The sequence below is a fragment of the Homo sapiens genome, chromosome 3 (genome assembly GCF_000001405.40).
Source record: "Homo sapiens chromosome 3, GRCh38.p14 Primary Assembly".
Lineage (NCBI taxonomy): Eukaryota > Metazoa > Chordata > Mammalia > Primates > Hominidae > Homo > Homo sapiens.
The window spans coordinates 56642646-56663012 of NC_000003.12; the positions used below are offsets into that span (position 1 = coordinate 56642646).

The 20367-nt window shown below is 39.6% G+C and overlaps 1 protein-coding gene across 9 annotated transcripts in view; it reads right to left on the bottom strand.

The window, feature by feature from the left end:
- Window positions 1–20367, bottom strand: part of TASOR (transcription activation suppressor) — a 63134-nt gene that overhangs the window by 22514 nt on the left and 20253 nt on the right. For 8 of the 9 annotated variants that reach the window (NM_001365638.2, NM_001365636.2, NM_001365637.2 and 5 more), the window contains 6 exons: window positions 19740–19845; window positions 18269–18372; window positions 18086–18189; window positions 6340–6412; window positions 6177–6248; window positions 3877–4578 (listed from right to left, as the gene is read on the bottom strand). In NM_001365638.2, coding sequence (NP_001352567.1) covers window positions 3877–4578; window positions 6177–6248; window positions 6340–6412; window positions 18086–18189; window positions 18269–18372; window positions 19740–19845 — 1161 coding nt within the window. The remainder of the gene's footprint in view (window positions 1–3876; window positions 4579–6176; window positions 6249–6339; window positions 6413–18085; window positions 18190–18268; window positions 18373–19739; window positions 19846–20367) is intronic. The other variant, XM_047447815.1, reaches the window with a different exon arrangement.

The window sequence follows — 20367 nt, forward strand, 5'->3', positions numbered from 1 at the left end:
GGTGAGCTACCTAACAAAGAACACAAAGCAACATATAAAAATGTTCTGGCCAGGCACGGTGGCTCATGCCTATAATCCCAGCACTTTGGCAGGCTGAGGTGGGCAGATCACAAGGTCAGGAGATCGAGACCATCCTGGCTAACAAGGTGAAACCCCGTCTCTACTAAAAAAATACAAAAAATTCGCTGGGCGTAGTGGCATGAACCTGTAGTCCCAGCTACTTGGGAGGCTGAGGCAGGAGAATCACTTGAACCCAGGAGGCGGAGGTTGCGGTGAGCCGAGATCATGCCACTGCACTCCAGCCTGGGCAACAGAGCGAGACTCCATCACCAAAAAAAAAAATTCTATAGGCTCACGCCTGTAATCTCAGCACTTTGGAAGGCTGAGGAGGGTGGATCACCTGAAGTCAGGAGTTCGAAACTAGCTCAGCCAACATGGTGAAACCCTGTCTCTACTAAAAATACAAAAATTAGCTGGGTATGGTGGCACACGCCTGTAATCCCAGCTACTCGGAAGGCTGAGATAGGAGAATCGCTTAACCCAGGAGGCAGAGGTTGCAATGAGCCGAGATCGGGTCACTGCACTCCAGCCTGGAAGACAGAGTAAGACTCCATCTTAAAAAAAAAAAAAAGTTCTATATATTGGAGCGGTGATTACACAGCTGTCAAAACTAATCATACTGTGTGCTTAAATAGGTACACTGATATAAACTGTACCTCAAAACAGTTTATGTTAAAAGTTACAAGGGGTGGTGGGAATGGGTTAGGAGGTTACCTCATAAAATGACTGGGCTCACCACCAAATCAAGATCAGGGTGTTTTAAAAGTTAGAATATGGCTGGGCATGGTGGCTCACGCCTGTAATCCCAGCACTTTGGGAGGCCGAGGCGGGCGGATCACAAGGTCAGGAGATCGAGACCATCCTGGCTAACACGGTGAAACCCCGTCTCTGCTAAAAACACAAACAAGTAACCAGGCATGGTGGCGGGCGCCCCAGCTACTCGGGAGGCTGAGGCAAGAGAATGGCGAGAACCAGGGAGGCGGAGCTTGCAGTGAGCCGAGATTGTGCCACTGCACTCCAGCCTGGGCGACAGAGCGAGACTCCGTCTCAAAAAAAAAAAAAACAAAAAAAAAAGTTAGAATACAACCTTGAAATCTCTACCTTCAGAAACAAAGTATGCAAAATTACTTAAAAAGAAATAAGTAAGAAACACCTAAAAATGCAAGTCTGATAGTCACTAGTTTTAGTTAAGCATTCTACCCTTCTTCCTCTGCTCCATTTCTCATTTGGTTTATTATAATTAGTATGGCTTTCTCATCATTTTAATTATTGATGAAGCCTGATTTTTACCCACAACTATTTTTTCACATACACAGAATTAGTTACCAACAAAAACAGTACCAAAAAATAAGTATCTTATTTATTGAGTGCATATAATGTGCTCAGTGACAGGAAATGCAGCAGTTTGTTGTCAACAATGCTTTGGAGTCAGTCAGAACTGACTTCGGATTGTGCCACTAACTTCATAACTTTTGGTAAAGTTATTTAACTTATCTGAGATGATTTTCTCATCTGCAAAATTAGGATAATAATGCCTATCACTCAAGAACTATTAATAAATGAGTTCATATACATAAAGTACCTAGCACATAGTAAACAGAGCTCTCAAGACATGTCACAAGATAAGACAGTATGTGTCAGTAAGTGCTAACAGGTTCAGCACAGATTGCAAATCCAGCATAAACTAGAGGAGACCATTAAGGAGAATAGACAGAAAGCTGAGGAGAATATGAACTGCAAAGATATAAGGCTTGAAAGAAATGGAAGCTACTTCAGGAAAAAAAAGAGGGAAATAAAAGACTGACCATGACATACTCTAGGCAGAGAGAGATGACCCTTAACCAAGACATGTGAGAGAACAGTGGGAAACATGGCTGGACATGGCTAGTCTATAACAAAGCCTTAAAAAGCAAGTATATAAGATGAGATTGGTAGCAAATTAGCAAAGCAATACTGAGAAGAACATGATACTGAAACGGGTGCAAGAAGGTAGTAAGTCAGGAAGGCCACCAAAGAGATAAAGAACACAGACAAAGAGTAACAACATTGCAAAGAGAAAGAGACACACAGGTTAACTAAAGAAAAAATCATTATAGTTACTGCAAAGAAAAGTAATGTCAAATAGAACTTTCTGCAATAATGGAAATGTTCTCTCTCTGTACTAATACAATGGTGTGGTTGTTGAAATGTATTTTAATTTCATTTTAATTCAAACTTAAATAAAAACATATGGCTAGTGGCTACCACATTGAATACCATAACAATAAAAGAAGTAAAAGGAGAGCAGGCTGAGCATGGTGGCTGACGACTGTAATCCCAGCACTTTGGGAGGCCGAGGCAGACAGATCACTTGAGGTCAGGAGTTCAAGACCAGCCTGGCCAACATGGCAAAACCCCGTCTCCACTAAAGATACAAAAATTAGCCAGGCACAGTAGTACGTGCCTGTAATTCCAGCTACTGGGGAGACTCAGGCACGAGAATCTTTTGAACCAGGTAGGCAGAGGTTGCAGTGAGCCAAGACTGAGCCACTGCACTACAGCCTGGGTGACGGAGTGAGATTTTGTCTCAAAAATAAATAAATAAATAAAAAGAGCAGGAAAGTGAAAAGTGAGGATACAAATACAGATTGCTAAGAGCAAAAGTGTAAAAAGACACTGATCTGACTAACCTAGACTAAGACACTGATCTGACTAACCTAGACTAAGACACACTGAATCTGAAGAGACAAGTTGCTTAATAAAAAGCATAAGAATATTCAGTTCTGCCATAATCAGAGGAGCAACAGTAACACAAAACGTGGATTGTTATGTCAACTTTCTATGAATGCAAAAGAACTCATTCTGTGCTTATCAACTAGTAGTGTGAAGATCTTAAAAATCTAGATAAAAGTGTTTTAGCTGACTTGCAATATTGAAACAAACACACTTAAAACAAGCGCCTTACATGTCTATCTTTTTCTGTCAACTAAAACAAAACAAAGGAAAAAAGAACAACAAAAAAAGAAAAACCCAAAGATATTCCTGGATTCTTGGGGTAGAAAAGAGTATGTGTATGCATATTTTATTTTCAAATTCAGAAGGTTCCTTTTCATTATGCAACAGCCTAAAAGATACTACTATTCTGATATTATACTTCTTCAACTATAAAAATAAAGGAATATGGCCAGGCGTGGTGGCTCACGCCTGTAATCCCAGCACTTTGGGAGGCCGAGGCAGGCGGATCACGAGGTCAGGAGATCGAGACCATCCTGGCTCACATGGTGAAACCCCGTCTCTACTAAAAATACAAAAAATTAGCCGGGCATGGTGGCAGGCGCCTGCAGTCCCAGCTACTCGGGAGGCTGAGGCAGGAGAATGGCATGAACCCAGGAGGTGGAGCTTGCAGTGAGCCGAGATCATGCCACTACACTCCAGCCTTGGGGAGACATCAAGACTCCGTCTCAAAAAAAATAAAGGAATATAAAAGGACAAGAGTTCTGATTAGTATTATTATGTCATGTTAACCTAAACCAAACAATTTAGAAATCTGATGTACCAGGGCAGGAATTGTAAAGTGTTTCCTGTACTGGGCCAGGTAGCAAATATTTTAGGCTTTGTGGGCCATACAGTCTCAGTGCCAACTCTGCCATGACAGCATGAGAGCAGCTACATACACATAAATAAATGGGCATGGCTGTATTCAAATACAACTTTCTTTACAAAAATAGTGGACAGGCTGAATTTGACCCTCAGGCTTTAATTTATACGCCCCTCTGCTACAAGAAAGAACAGAACTACTTTATTTTTGGCTGTTATAAGAGCAATCTGATATTTTACCTTCATACAGATGGCAATTTTCAGATAAATTACTGGTTTTGGCGAGCTTTCTCATATTTTCAGGTAGATCCTCAAGCTTCCTCTTCAAGACAGTTTTGCTTCTCATATCTTCTGTGTCTGAGTCCCCACCCACACTCTTTTTCCTACACTGAATTAAATTAATCAATTCTTTGACTCTATCCTTATCATAATCCAAAGAATGAGATGATCTTTGCTTTCCAGATATAATGGCTTCACCTCTTGAGTTATTTCGTTTTCCAAATTTCATTTTTGTACCATTCATTTCTTCTTCTTGACCTTCATAATCTGAAAGTGGACTAAACTGCTGAAGTTTTCTATTTTCTTCAAATAGTTCTTTTAATTTACAAATAGGTAACTGATACACTTCAGGCCGAAAAATATAGGCATGCAAACAAGTATCAATATGGGATTTATTTCTGGGAGCTGAGTATAAGAATTTTTTATCATCTAATCGTGAATCATATGGAAACATAATAAACTCTCGTTTACCTGAACCAAAACCTCGCTTAAAAAATTCACTTACATACTTTTCAACAACAGAATGAAAATTTATGGCGCTTATATTTTTGAATTCCTTTCGACACTGAATCAAAGAAAATTGTAAAAACTGAGCTATTTTTAATACATCTGGCATGCTCTCATGCCTCTCCTGTGGTGCTGCATTGGTTGAACCTTTTTGTGCTGTAAATAAAACAAACAAACAAAAAAGCAAACCATGTTAGCAATCAAGAAACTAATCAAATACAGATCTAAATATTGCCAAAGAAGTATAAAAACATTTATACATTAATGTTGAACCAGACGAGTATGTACCCTAGTACATATATACAATATAGCAAATATATGAATAGCATGCTTGTAAAGTCCAGGATCCTAAAACAGGCCAATAAGAAACTAAAACAAATGAAAAAGCAGAACACATTTTTAAAGGAAAAATCACCCACTCATTGAAGATCTCACTTCCTACTGCCCCCAGGAAATTCAAATAGTGGCAAGCAATATGTAAGAAGAAACAGAGACAGAACAAGATCTGAGGCTCCAAGCAAAACAGTCCTGCATGTCATCTCTTCCTCTTATAAAGTAGTAACTAACTTCACATGAACAGATATGTAGATGCTGAGTAGCCACAACTGAGAAACTCATCCTTAATCCAACAGTGAAATAAAGCCATTAGTGGGAACTTTAGCTTAATACACAGTATTAAAGTTCATTCTTAGAAAAGGTGGTTAACAAATCTTGTCTTATATCAGTGCCAAAAATTCTCATTAATTTTGAATTGCCTAATATTTATCCTGGCAAATGATGCTTTAGAGTTACTAAAATTTGAATGCAAAATTGAACTAAGCTAAAAAATAATCATACAAAACCCTCACAGACCGGGAATAGTGGCTCATGCCTCTAATCCCAGCAGCTTGGGAGGCTGAGGTAGTTGGATCGCTTCAGGCCAGGAGTTCAAGAACAACCTAGACAATATAGTGAGATCCTGCTTCTAAAGAAAAAAAAAAAATTTAAACTTAGCTAGCTGTGCTGGCGCACGCCTGTAATCCCAAGCTACTCAAGAGGCTGAGGCAGGAGGATCACTTGAGCCTAGGAGGGAGGGCAAGGCTGTATGTAGTGAGCCATGATCGCACCACTGCCTGGGCAACAGAGTGAGACTCTATCTCCAACAGAGTGAGACTCTATCTCTAAAATAAATAAAAAGTAACCATCATAACTAAGCTACAGTACTATAACAATTATAATCAAGCTTTATGAGAGCACTGATAAACACAAATTAATTTTTCATAGTTAAAAAAAATCGTCAGCCAGGCACAGTGGCTCATGCCTGTAATCCCAGCACTTTGGGAGACCGAGGCAGGAGGATCACTTGAGGTCAGGAGTTCGAGACCAGCCTGGCCAACATGGTGAAACCCCGTCTCTACTAAAAATACAAAAAAATTAGCTGGGAGTGGTGGTAGATGCCTTGTAATCCCAGCTACTCAGGAGGCTGAGGCAGGAGAATCACTTGAACCTGGGAGGTGGAGGTCGCAGTGAGCTGAGATCGCGCCCCTGCACTCCAGCCTGGGCAAGAAGAGCAAAACTCTGTATCAAAAAAAAAAAAAAAAAAAAAAAAAAAAAATTCATATAATTTGTGTCTTATATTGCTAATACCTCTTAACCCCCAGTATTTCCTGAAACATGAGGTAAGAAAGACAAAATGTTTAGTGAGTTATCTGGAAAATTTCAATGAAATGTTAAGTATCTATAAGTAACCAGATTTAGATATTCAAAGAACTTACAAGTAACTATGCTTCTAGGTTCTTGAAATAGAAACAAAGCATGTAGGACTCGAGACTTGGCAGTCTGATATTCTAAAAAACAGAAGCCAAACTCATTAGCAATGTGTTTTAACTAAAAAGTTAAGAAAGAATTGTAAAAATTTATTAAAGAGAGACCACCTACCATATGGAGGAACCATCTGATAAGGGGAGAGAAGAAAAAGGTATCCTCGGTCTCCCAAAGGTTTAACAAGAACCTGTATTTTGAGGGGAAGGAAGAAGTTGTATCTGCTTTATTATTATTCACCATAAGGCAGACACACAGCATTTTCTACTAATTGTAAAGAAAAAAAGTTCTTAATCATCTTTTAAGAAAAAATATTGCTAATGAATTAGTTAATTCTTTCTACCAACTCTGCTGATTAACAGGATTCCAATCAAATAAAAATTCCTTGGTTTTCATAACATTAATGAGAAAATGTTACTGAAAGAACTCCCCTAACTGCAAAACCACGTTAATTTTTCCCTGAAGCTAAAATACAAGGACCAAGCTAAAGACTTCAATTTTCTTCATCAGTTCAAAAGACATGTTTATTAATGGCCAAGGTAATGTGCTAGATGCTAGATACAAAACATGCTTTGAAACACTGCGTTGCAAGAGTTCAGACTAATCACAAACCCAATGTGTTGCCATAATCTAACTGCACACATATTACATGAACACTTTTCACATGTAAGGGAATTTGCCCAGAGATATCCAAATACAAGCAACACAAGATCCTTGATCACGAGAAGTTTATAATTAGGTAGAAAGAGTACCACAATAAATACCAGTAATTACATAAGACAGAAAAGTTCCCTAAGAGATTTACAAAATAACAGAAATGGAAAAATACAGTTTGTTTACGGTAGTAAAAGATGGTCAAGAAAGGTTTACTGAAAGTGTATCAAAAGTGGATTTTGAAGAATGGGTACACTGACAAGAGCCTGAGATTGTAGGAAGGACATTTCAGTAGAGGCAACACCATGAGCAAAGGTGAGTTGTAATGGACAGTTTACAAACATCACAATATTTATCACTGGCAACAGGGTGAGGACAGACTAGGATAAATGTATAAGACAAGTCGGGAATGAAAGATCATGGGTTAGCTGTAAAAAGACCAGAAGCCAGGCTGGCCAGGAATGTCCTTGAGAGCATATCCCTTTGAGCTACTGTTTCCTTAAAACAACAGTAAGAAAGAAGACTTGACAGCACAGTGCAGGACGCAGAAAAACAATCTAATGCAAAGAATTTATTTCAGGGGCTACTGCAATAGTTCACAATGTTTTGGGTAAATGAGAAACTGAGCATGGCAACTGAACACAAAAGGATATCTGAGCTCTGAAAGAAAACTCGTACTACCTAAATTCCTACTAAAACAATTCCAGTAAACAACGCCTGTATAAAAACTAATAATTCAGAGGACAAAAAGTAACTGTGCTACTAATTCACATTTAATAAAAACATTGTTTGCACACTCAAAAGTAAAGTGGTATTGTGTTTGGGGGTTTCAGGTAGCTTAGTTGACCACTTTCTCCAGGGTCAACTTCTCCTTCAGTTCAATCTGTGCCAAAAATGAGTCTTAGATACCTGGTACTCAAGGAGGTTATTTTAGTGGAAGCAGGCTGGTGGTATGGGACAGATAAAGTCATGGGGTCAGATGACCAAATGACTAGGTCCATCTGAAGACCATTCTAAACTTTGGGGAATCTTTCCCCATTTTTACTGCCTGGATTCCATGAGGGTCAGTTATCAGGTCTTTCTTTTATAAAGGAAGTTCAAATATTCTTGTAAGGGTAAACTTTGTTGTAAGGTTTCTAATAGTTAATCTGTGCTGAGGTGGCCTTGTTTCCTAAAAATCCCAGGGCCAAGGTTAAAAATCCTCAGGCCAAGTTACATCATACTGCTGACATATAGTATTGGCCCTGCAAGATATTTAACTGGGTCTTACGGCTACCATTTATAGCCACGCTAAGTCTCTTAGAGTATACTACAAGCGGACAATGTACCTGAAAATTTTGTTTCAAATACTTTTATCCAAAGTATTTTAGATAATATACTTCTTTTAATATTTTGTTCAAACTCCTAGTTGATGAAATAAAAAGTTACGAAGCACAAGATTTTCATGTTTTGTGCTCACTGACGAAAACCAATTAGATGCCTTTAACCTCTCACTCACTCCAAATACTAGGTTTTATAAATTCCACTACCAGTAACCTAAAGATTCCTGTATTTTAAGGGGGCCCAATGTTTCCAGAAATCCATGGAGTACAAGCAATCTATGATCAGAAACAACACTAAGGCTGACAGAGGCTTCAGCAGTTATATCTGTGGCTTCAGCCCAATGAAATCCATTCAACTCTGCAGAAAAGAAAAATCCTGCAAATTGTGCTCCTGTTGTCTCTATTTTAGCTGTTTGGTTATTCTTAAAAAAAAAAAAAGATATTAATCCAATCTCTGGGGTTTTTAAATTAGTTTATTCTACTATTTTAAATTTCCAGATAACATTAAAGGTATTATAGCACTCCCCCACCCCCACAAAAAAAGAGTTAGTATAAATACATGTACAATGGGCCAGGCGCAGTGGCTCATGCCTGTAATCTCAGCACTTTGGGAAGTCGAAGTGGGAGGAGGATTGCTTGAAGCCAGGAGTTGAAGACCAACCTTGGCAACACAGCAAGACCCCAACTCTACAAAAAAAATTTTAAAAGTTGTCATGTGTGGCGTCATATGCCTATAGTCCTGGCTACTTGGAAAGCTAAGGTGGGAGAATTGCCTGATCCTGAGAGTTCAAGCTGTGAAGCTGTGATTGTGCCACGCACTATAGCACCTCAGCCTAGGCAACAGAGAGTCCTGTCTCAAAAAAAAAAAGCTTAGAAGGAAATAAGCTACACTAAAGTGAGATTCAGCAGAAAAAAAAAGATTCAAACACTCAAAGGCATCAAAAATTGGAATTATCAGATGCAAAAAGGAAAATAATCCACTATGAAATCTTTAAAGACATAAAATAATTGGAAGAATTAAAAACATTTTCAAGCAAAAATGTTTACGCTAATGTTCATAGCACCATTATTCATAGTAGCCAAGAAATAGAAATAACTGATAAAAGAACAAACAAAATGTGGTATTATCTACACAATGAAAGCATACTGGGCCATAAAACAGAATGAAGTTCTGATATATGCTACAACATCAATGAGCCTTGAAAATTATGCTTAGTGAAAGAAGCCAGGCACCGAACGCCACATATTCTTGACTCTATTTATATAAAATGTTCAGAGCAGATAAATCCATAGAGACAGAAGTAGATTAATGGCTGTTAGGGATTAGGAAGGGGGAATGTACAGTGAATTCTGAGATGAAAATGTTCGGGAATTAGATAGTGTTGATGTTGCACAACAGTGTGAATCTACTTTTAAAAAAAACATAGAATTATATACTTTAAAATGGCTAAAATGGCTGGGCACGGTGGTGCACACCTGTAATCCCAGCACTCTGGGAGGCCAAGTTCAAGAACAGCCCAGGCAATATGGCAAAACCCTGTCTCTACAAAACATACAAAAATCAGGCAGGTGTGGTGGTACGCACCTGTAGCCCCAGCTACCCAGGAGGATGAGGTAAGAGGATCACTGGACCCCAGAAAGTCGAGGGTGCAGTGAGCCAGGATCACACCACTGCACTCCAGCCTGGATGACAAAGCAAGACCCTGCCTATTTAAAAAAAAAAAAAAAATGGCTAAAATGGTTAATTTTATGTTATGTGAATTTTATTTCACTTAAAAAATATAGGCAAAGAATACCGGAATATAATGTGCACCTCCTAGAACTCTGCCTGGCGTATGATAGGTACTCACTAAATACTTCTGAAAGACTTAACAAGAACCTGCTATAAAATAACCAGGCAGATCCAAAAAAATTCAAATGTAACTTTTAAAAATAAAAAACATTCCCTGTGAAATTAAAAACACAATAAATAAATAAAGCAACAAATAAGACACAGCTAAATACAGGATTTTTAAACTAGAAGATAGTTATGATGAAGTTACTTAGAATGCAGCACAGAGAAACAAATAGATGGAAAACATAGACAAGGTTAACAGACGTGGAAAATATGCCTCTTCAGAGTCCTAAAAAGACAGGCCAGGCCGGGCGCAGTGGCTCACGCCTGTAATCCCAGCACTTTGGGAGGCCGAGGCCAGTGGATCACCTGAGGTCAGGAGTTCACAACCACTGGCCAACATGGCGAAACCCTGTCTCTACTAAATACACGAAAATTAGCCAGGTGTGGTGGCACACACCTACAACCCCAGCTACTCGGGAGGCTGAAACAGGAGAACTGCTTGAACCCGGGAGGTGGAGGTTGCAGTCAGCCAAGATCATGCCACTGCACACCAGCCTGGGCAACAGAGTGAGACTCCATCTCAAAAAAAAAAAAAAAAAAAAAAAAAAAGAAAAGACAAGCTAAAGAAAATGAGGGAGAAGTACAATAAAAGAGATAACTAATTTTCCAGAAAAAAAGACACAAATCCACAGATATGAAAGGAAAAGATATACCAAGCTGGATAAATAGAAATCTACACCTAGATACTGTAACTGCTAAACATCAAAGACCAAAAAAAAAAAAGATTTAAAAAGTAGCCAGGGGGCGGCAGGGGACCTACAAAGGAACAATTAGACTGAGAGCTAACCCCTAAACAAAAATAGAAGCCATAAGACACTGCAGCATAGTCAAAGTGCAAGAAAATAGCTGTCAACCCAGAATTGTGTACCCAGCACCCAATGATTATAGATTATACATTTTTCTCAAACACAGAAGGAGCATGTACAAAAATTGACCACACAGTAGATCTTAGTCTCAACAAATTTCAAATAATCACCACCATTGTTGATTACAATGCAATTAAATTAGAAATAAAAAAGACAAAAGTATCCCTGTTTCCCTATACACATACCTCTACATCATATATCAAAGTTAAAAAAAAATTGGAAACTAAAAAATAAAAATTTCTTAGAAATGAATAATGAAAATACTGCACATTAAAACGTGAAATGCAACTAAAGCACTACTTACAACTGAGTATTTATTGACTATTTTTCTGACTTAAAGACAGAAATAGCAAAACAAGTCTCAAAAAAGTAAAAGTTGGCCAGGCTTGGTGACTCACCCTGGTAATCCCAGCACTACGGGAGGCCGAGGCAGGCAGATCACTTGAGCCCAGGAGTTTGAGACCAATCTGGGCAACATGATGAAACCCTGTCTCTACTAAAAATACAAAAATTAGCCAGGTGTCATGGAGCATGCCTGTAATCCCAGCTACTTGGGAGGCTGAGGCAGGAGAATCCCTTGAACCCGGGAGGCAGAGGTTGCAGTGAGCTGAGATTGTGCCACTGCACTCTGGCCTGGGAGACAAGAGCGAAACTCTGTCTCAAAAAAAAAAGGCAGAGATGGTATAAGAAAGGAAAATTTCAGGTCAATCTCATTCATCATCACAGATACAAAATTCCTAAACAAAAGCCAAACCCCACAATTTACTTTAAAAGCTGTGGCAGGGGTGGGCGGGGTTGGGGGGTGGTAGTTTCTATACAAGCAATGCAGGGGTAGTTTAATATTGGAAAACTATAAATATAACTCACCTTAGTAGGTCTACAGAATAAATACCATGTGTGATGGTTAATTTTTTAGGTCAACTAGATTTGGCCAGGGAGTGCCCAGGTATTTGATCAAATATTTTTCTGGGTGTTCCTGTCAAGCTATTTTCGGATGAGTTTACAACCAACAGACTGAGTAAAGCAAGCCAACCTCCCTAATGCAGGTTGGCCATATCCAATCAGCTGAAGGCCTAAAGAGAATGAAAGGCAAACCCTAACCCCCACAACAAAAGAATTCCTCCTGTCTGTCTTCCAAGTTGGGATGTCAACTGTTCCCTGCCTTCAGACTTGAACTGAAACATTGGCTCTTCCTGAGTCTTGAGCCTGCCAGCCTTAGAACTATACCACTGGCAGTCCTGGTTCTTGCACCTGCATACTCAGACTGAAACTGTACCATTGGCTCTCCTGGGTCTCCAGCTTGTTAACTGCAGATATGATCTTGGGACATGTCAGCCTCCATAAATGTGTGAGCCAATTCTTTACAATAAATCTCTTTTTACATACCACCCCCACCATAAACTATTGGTTCTGTTTCTCTGCAGAACCCAAAAATACTGTGTGACCAGATTGATAAATGCAACCCCTGACCCAAAACAAAAACCATCTGCTAAAATTCAAAATCCATTCATGGTTAAAAAAATAAAGAAGCAAAGTTTAAAACATAAAAAACTACTGTGGACTTCCTACTTAATGGTAAAATGTTATAAGGCTTTTTTTTCTTTAAATCAAGAAGGCAAGAATGCCCAAAATCACCATTTTTATTCAACTTCTTAGTACAGATCCTAGACTGCACATTAACATGGAAAAAGAAGTAGTATATAGTAGTTCCCTTTTATCTGCAGAAGATATATTACAAGACCCCCAGTGAATGTCTGAAATCACAGATAGTAACAAACCCTATGTTTTTTCTTATGTATACATACCTATAATAAAGTTTAACTTTTAAATTAGGCATACTAAGAGACTAACGACAATAATTAATAATAAAATAGAACAGGCTGGGCATGGTGGTTCATGCCTATAATACCAGCACTTTGGGAGGTGGAGGCATGAGGGTTGCTTAAGGCCAGGAGTTTGAGACAAGCCTGGGCAACACAGTAAGACCCTATTCTCTATTAAAAATTTTAAAAAATAGATAAATTTTAAAAACTAGCTGGGCATGGTGGTATACACCTGCAGCCCAGCTACCCAGGAGGCTGAGGTGGGAGAATCACTTAAAAGACAAGTAGTTCAAGGCTGCAGTAGCTATGATCACATCACACCACTGTACTCCAGCCTGGGCAACAGAATGAAATCCTGTCCTCCCACCAAAAAAATAGAGTAACTGCAACAATATATAATAATAAGGGTTATGTAATGTGGTCTCTCTCTCTCTCAAAATCTTATTGTAATGTACTCACCCTTCTTATGATGACGTGAGATGATGAAATGCCTATGTGATGAGATGGAAGTGAGGCTGATGACATAGACATTGTGATGCAGCATTAGGCTACTACTGAAAACTAATTTAAAACTTATTAATTATTTCTGGAGCTTTCCATTTAGTATTTTCAGACAACAGCTGACCACAGGTAACTGAAACTACAGAAAGCAAAACCAAGGATAACAGGGGACTACTATAAAGATGAGAAGAAAAAAATAAAACCAATCTACCTTCCAGATAATGAATTCTATATAGAAACCCCCAAAAATGTACAAAAATAAACACTTCATTCAAATTTCACATTGATCTGCATTAAATCAATATGTAAGTATCAATTACATTTCTATATATACAAGAAACAGAAAATGTACTAACATGGAAAATACTATTCACGGGCCAGGCATGGCGGTTCACACCTGTAATCCCAGCACTTTGGGAGGTTGAGGCAGGCAGATCACTTGAGGTCAAGAGTTCAAGACCAGCCTGGCCAACATGGCAAAACCCCATCTCTACAAAAAATACAAAAAAAATTAGCCAGGTATGGTGTTGCACGCCTGTAGTCCCAGCTACTCAGGAGGCTGAGGCAGGAGAATTCCTTGAACCTGGGAGGCGGAGGTTGCAGTGAGCTGAGATCACACCACTGCATTCCAGCCTGGGTGACAGAGCGAGACTCTGTCCCCCGCCCCCCCCCAAAAAAAGAAAGAAAATACTATTTACAAAAGCATCAAAAAATGTAAGACAGCTGGGGATAAATCTAACAAAAAATGAGCAAGACTAGTATCCAGAAAATTCTAAAACTCTATTAAAAGAATACACTAGGCTGGGCGCAGTGGCTCACACCTGTAATCCCAGCACTTTGGGAGGTCGAGGCAGGCAGATGATGAGGTCAGGAGTTCGAGACCAGCCTGACCAACATGGAGGAAGTCCCATCTCTACTAAAAATACACAATTAACCAGGCATGGTGGAGCATGCCTGTAATCCCAGCTACTCTGGAGGCTGATGCAGGAGAACTGCTTGAACCCAGGAGGAGGAGGTTGCGGTGAGCCGAGATTGCACCATTGCACTCCAACCTGGGCAACAAGAGCGAAACACCGTCAAAAAAAAAAAAAAGAATACACTAAAGAAAGGGCGAGATGGCCAGGCACGGTGGCTCACGCCTGTAATCTCAGCACTTTCAGAGGCCAAGGCAGGCAGATCATGAGGTCAAGAGTTCAAGACCAGCCTGGCCTACATGGTGAAACCCCATCTCTACTAAGAATACAAAAATTAGCCGAGCATGGTGGCAGGCGCCTGTAATCCCAGCTACTCCGGAGACTGAGGCAAGGGAATCACTTGAACTCAGGAGGCAGAGATTGCAGTGAGCCGAGATCACGCCACTGCACTCCAGCCCAGCAACAGAGCAAGGCTCTGTCTCGAAAAAAAAAAAAAAAAAAGTCAATATAATCTTATTTCGTGTATCATCTCCCTGGGTGAAAAGAAAACTTCCCTGGATTTCTACGTGCCACTGCAAAAAGTCCTAGCCTTCTAATATACAAAAATGTATATGATATAAAGATAAGGGAATGTTTGCTTTCATATCCCCCACAAATATTTTACTCTTCGCATACCTTAAGATTTAGATCTGTAGTCATTTATCTAGTTAATTGCTCTGCTCCACAATAATAAAACTTATTTTATCTCCCTGAGAGCATCAAGTGGGGTAGATTAAGAGATTACAGCAAAGAGAGGTTCCTAGGTTAAGTCCAGAGGTGCCAAGAAGACTATGGAGATCTCCCTAAGCATTTACATTTCAATACAGAATGAGTTTCCAGGAATTTGGAAATGTCTCTTGGTCCAAGAGGGCTAAACAAATGGCTCCTGAAGCGATTTTATTTATATACCAAAGAGTTGGAGTTAATATTCATAACATTTCAAAGAGACACATTCAGGATAGCAGGGAATAGCTGCCTCTTCCCTTTTATAAGCAAATAGAAAGTATTTGTCCCCATCTTTTACCTATGTAGTATGCAGCTACTCAGGACAAGTGGCTTAGGCCTGCATGCCCTAGGGAGTTAAGGACTAAGGCAAAGGAGGGCCAATACATTTTTACTTACTGTGGGGTATTCACAAAATCTGTCTCTGATTCAGAAAACCTTGTGTGCATTTCTTGGACAAAATTTAAAAATCAGTATTCCTCAATGCACTGCTCATTATCAAGAAAACTATGAATAAAGTAGCTATAGACGGAATAATCCCAGTGAGGCCTGCTGGAAAACGGATAGCTACACAAAATTCCTAGGTACATTAGATTCTGGGAGTGTATCCTTGTAGAATGCTAGCAACCTTTAAGATCTAGGATTTTACTTTACTTCTTGATTCTGGAAAAGATCCAGTCTTCCATTAACATAATGTAATACTTGGTCAGGTGAGGAACGAAATGCCATCTTTCCTATCCTGATCCTCATATCAGTAACCGAAAGATATTGTAATTTTCTGATAAACCCCTCATTGTCCGAATTCTCAATACTCACTCTCTGAAACACAAGAACCAAATAGATTTGTGTAACTCAGTATCTCTCCATATCCAAACCTACTATCTCAACTTTCACTTTCTGAACTTGGGAACTGAATAGATTTTGATGATGAGGAATGCTTGCATTGTAGTCAGGCTTTCAGAAGAAAACAAGCCATGTAATACAAACATAAAATTATGTTCATATGCAGTGAGAAAGTAAGAAGGAAGGGCCAGGCGCGGTGGCTCACCCAACACTTTGGGAGGCCGAGGCGGGTGGATCACTTGAGGTCAGGAGTTTGAGACCAGCCTGGGCAACATGATAAAACCCCGTCTCTACTAAAAATACAAAAATTAGCTGGGTGTCGTGGCACATGCCTCTAATCCCAGCTACTCGAGAAGCTGAGGCAGGAGAATCGCTTGAACCCGGAAGGTTGAACCCGGAGGTTGCAGTGAGCTGAGACTGTGCCACTGCGCTCCAGCCTGGGCGAGAGAGTCTGTCTCAAAAAAAAAAGAGAGAGAGACAGAGAGTGAGAGAGAGACTGTGTGTGTGTGTGTGTGTGTGTGTGTGTGTGTGCACGCGTGTGTGTTTTAATTCTAGGACATTTAATTGAAAGGTTTCTAGCCTGTAAGTCAAAGACTCGCAAGGGTTTTATAACTCTGCCTGGAAGTTTTATGTCAATCTGACTATCCCATCTATAAACAACAGACTGATTAAGCACATATATATGAAAATAATTAAATTCTATGTAGCCATTAAACATGAAGTTGCACGTTCTGAAACTCAAAGATATTTGACTGCCATTCGACTACCTGGAAACTGAGGCTCAACAAAGTGAGAAGTAAAAAGTCAACTGTTGTAAAACTTGTATTAAATGGCGCACCTATGCAAAAAAGTTGTATCCCTCTTTCTTGGAACTTACGACCACCATTTAGCAAGACAAAAAGAAACCTTGGAACAGCCACTTCCCTTCTCTCCAACCACCTCCTCGCCTTCAGCTAAACCACATATACTGGCATCACATTCATTTTCCATTCACTTCTCAACCCACCACAATCTGATGTTTGACCCAATCCCTCTACCCAAACTAGATATGCTTCAGTATTAAATTGGACCTTACCTCAGAAATATCCCATAAATCTGTCTCTTCTTGTATCATTACCTTGTCATCCCACCCGCCATCACCCTCTAATGTAATAGTTTCTACCTCATCTCCCCTCAATTTATTCTCGAGTAACTAACGTAATTATTCAAAACACAGATCTTATGTTGCATACACTTTCAAAGTTTCAATGCACACCCTTGAAAATCCTTCAAAATCTGCTGCTCTTAGGATCAAATCCAAATTTCCAAACACTTGAACACTGCCTGAATGACGCTGTATGACACAGGTCCCTACTACTTTCCCCCAACTACTCTAGTGTTCCTTTATCTCCTCAACCTCACTGAGTTTATTGTTCTTGGATTTTCTTTTTTCTTTTTTTTTTGAGATGGAGTCTCGCTTTTGTCACTCAGGCTGGAGCGCAATGGTACGATCTTGGCTCACCACAACCTCTTCCTCCTGGGTTCAAGCGATTCTCCTGCCTCAGCCTCCCCAGTAGCTGAGATTACACCACACCAAGCTAATTTTATATTTTTAGTAGAGACAGGGTTTCTCCATGTTGGTCAGGATGGTCCCGATCTCCTGATCTTATGATCTGCCTGCCTTGGCCTCCTAAAGTGCTGGGATTACAGGCGTGAGCCACCAACGCCCGGCCTGATAATCACATTCTTAATCACAAAGTATAATAAAGATATTCCATGGGGGCTGGGCACGGTGGCTCACGCCTCTAATTCCAGCACTTTGGGAGGCTGAGGCGGGCAGATCACGAGGTCAGGAGATTGAGACCATCCTGGACAACACGGTGAAACCCCGTCTCTACTAAAAATACAAAAATCAGCTGGCTGTGGTGGTGTGCACATGTAATCCCAGCTACTCAGGAGGCTGAGGCAGGAGAATTGCTTGAACCCAGGAAGGCGGAGATTACAGTGAGCCAAGATCACGCCACTGTACTCCATCCTGGTGAGACAGCAAGACTCCGTCTCAAAAAAAAAAAAAAAAAAAAGATATTCCATGGGAAAGACTGGTTTGCACAAGCTCCAATACCATGGCCCAAATAAAAGAATACCAGAACCACAGTAAAACACTGTTAACTAAACAGCAGCAACAGACAGACACCTCATGGTACTTTCAGAGGCAAAAATAAACTGAAACACTAATATGATCACACATGAATATGCATATTTGTAACAAAGAATGAGAAACATTAAAAAACTTTTCACTCACAAGTTTTTCTCTGTCTAGTTTTTGCAGTAAACTCTCCATGTTACTTCCAATTCTTGTCTTTTCCACAACTTCATAAAGGCTGCAATACATTCCATTCTTCAAAACTGACATAAGAAAAATACATAGTAAATATCCAAATCAAGTCTGCTTCTAATGCATTTCAATAAAATTAAATTACCTTACCTTCATTTGGACCTAAGTATGTTTCCTTATAAAACAGTGCTGGAGGGATTTTCTGTTTCAGATGATCAATACTCATAACTGTTTCAACATCTAATTTCTCAGGTCTGAAAGAAAATTTTAAAAACATGTTTGCCTTATCTGTATTTTCAACTCTAGCAATCTTAACACATACACAAAAAAGTACACTTGATGGAAAATAGAAGAGCATATCTACGAATATCTCACCTTATTCTAAAGATCTTTTGTTTCGTTTGTGACAGTCTCACTCTGTCACCTAGGCTAGAGTGCAGTGGTGCGATCACAGCTCACTGCAGCTTCAACCTCCTAGGATCAAGTGATTCTCCCACCTCAACCTCCAGGGCAGCTGGGACTACAGGCATGTGCCACCACGCTAGGGTAATTTTGGTTTTTTTGGGTCTTTTTGTAGAGACAAGGTCTCCTTACGTTGCTCAGGCTGGTCTCAAATTCCCGGTCTCAAGTGATCCTCCCACCTCAGCCTCCCAAAGTGTTGGGATTACATGAGTGAGCCACTGTGCCCAGCAGTAAAGGGGATTTGATACTGGAAGTCCAGATATATACATGGGTAGATAGCTAGCCAGGCAATATTTCCAACCTTCCATCCTTAAGCCAGAAACTAAAAGGCTGTCATTTTATTAAGGACAACTGAAGTATAAACTGTTAATCTTCACATGTTTATAAAGGCCCACAATGATGGAAGCAAGAGATTTTAGACCTTTCTATACCAACATATGCTGCATAGGACTAAAAACAGCCTATATATTTTAACTCACCAAATCAAAGCTCTTCCCAACAAAGAACTGGTAACTTTTAAGTCTACTATATTCAAAATGCTACATAAAAAAATATATCTACTTAGAATAAAACTAAAAAATTATATTTCAGACTTAAATCACTAAGAAAAAGTTTTAGGCTGGGCGTGGTAGCTCACGCCTGTAATCCCAACACTTCGTGAGGCCAAGGCGGGAGGATCATATGAGGTCAGGAGTTCGAGACCAGACTGACTGACATGGCAAAAGCCCCGTCTCTACTAAAAATACAAAAAAAAATTAGCTGGGTATGGTGGCAGGACCCTGTAATCCCAGCTACTCAGGAGGCTGAGATGGGAGAATCGCTTGAACCCGGGAGGCGAAGGTTGCAGCGAGCCGAGATTGCACCACTGCACTCTAGACTGAGTGACAAGAGCGAAACTCCGTCTCAAAAAAAAAAAAAAAAGATAAAGTTTTATACCGTAAATGTACTGACTAGCCTATCCTCAAATCAAGACAGAGACGTAGAGGACTCATATTGCCAAATCACGTAATTTCAAATCAACCATTTAAAAAACAAACCAACATTTATATTGAAGTTCTTATGAACCAAAATAAAATTTAAATATGAAAAAGAAATAAGGAAAAAGGCTCAAGAAAGTGATAAAATTAGCAACCACGAACTGCTCTTTACTTATACTTACAGTTTGATAGGCAAAAAAGCACGAGTGGCTGACCTCAGAGAAATATAACACAAAAGTTTTCCTTTATTTAAAAGCTGTCCTTTCCACAAGGTATAGTTATATTTATCTAAATAAAAAGAATATAATGACACAGCTTAGTCACTTGGCAGCCCAGAGAAGTGAGTGCACATTTATTAGAAATGAGACGGAAAATATCTAGAAACAAGGTTTAAGTAGGAGGGCAAAAAAAAAAAAACAGTGACTCTTCTACACTTCTATTTACTAACAGTTCAAATATTAGGATTTTTGTTTCAGGTATTTATCCCCTACAAAATCATTCCAGTTGCAAAGAATAACAAATGTATCTGTCTAAATGTCATTATCAGAAAAGTTGGGGAGCAAAGACAAGATAATTATTCATCTCTTATTTCCTCCAAAGGGACACTGTATGAAATCTGGTTGATTATATGAATGCCTACAGTGTCCTGTATCTTCTACTCATTGTGTTTTCATTATAAAGAAACTTTAAAATAGGCTGGGCATGGTGGCTCACACCTGTAACCCCAGCACTTTGGGAGGCCGAGGCGGGTGGATCACTTAAGGTTAGGAGTTCGAGACCAGCCTGGCCAACTTGGTGAAACCCCAACTC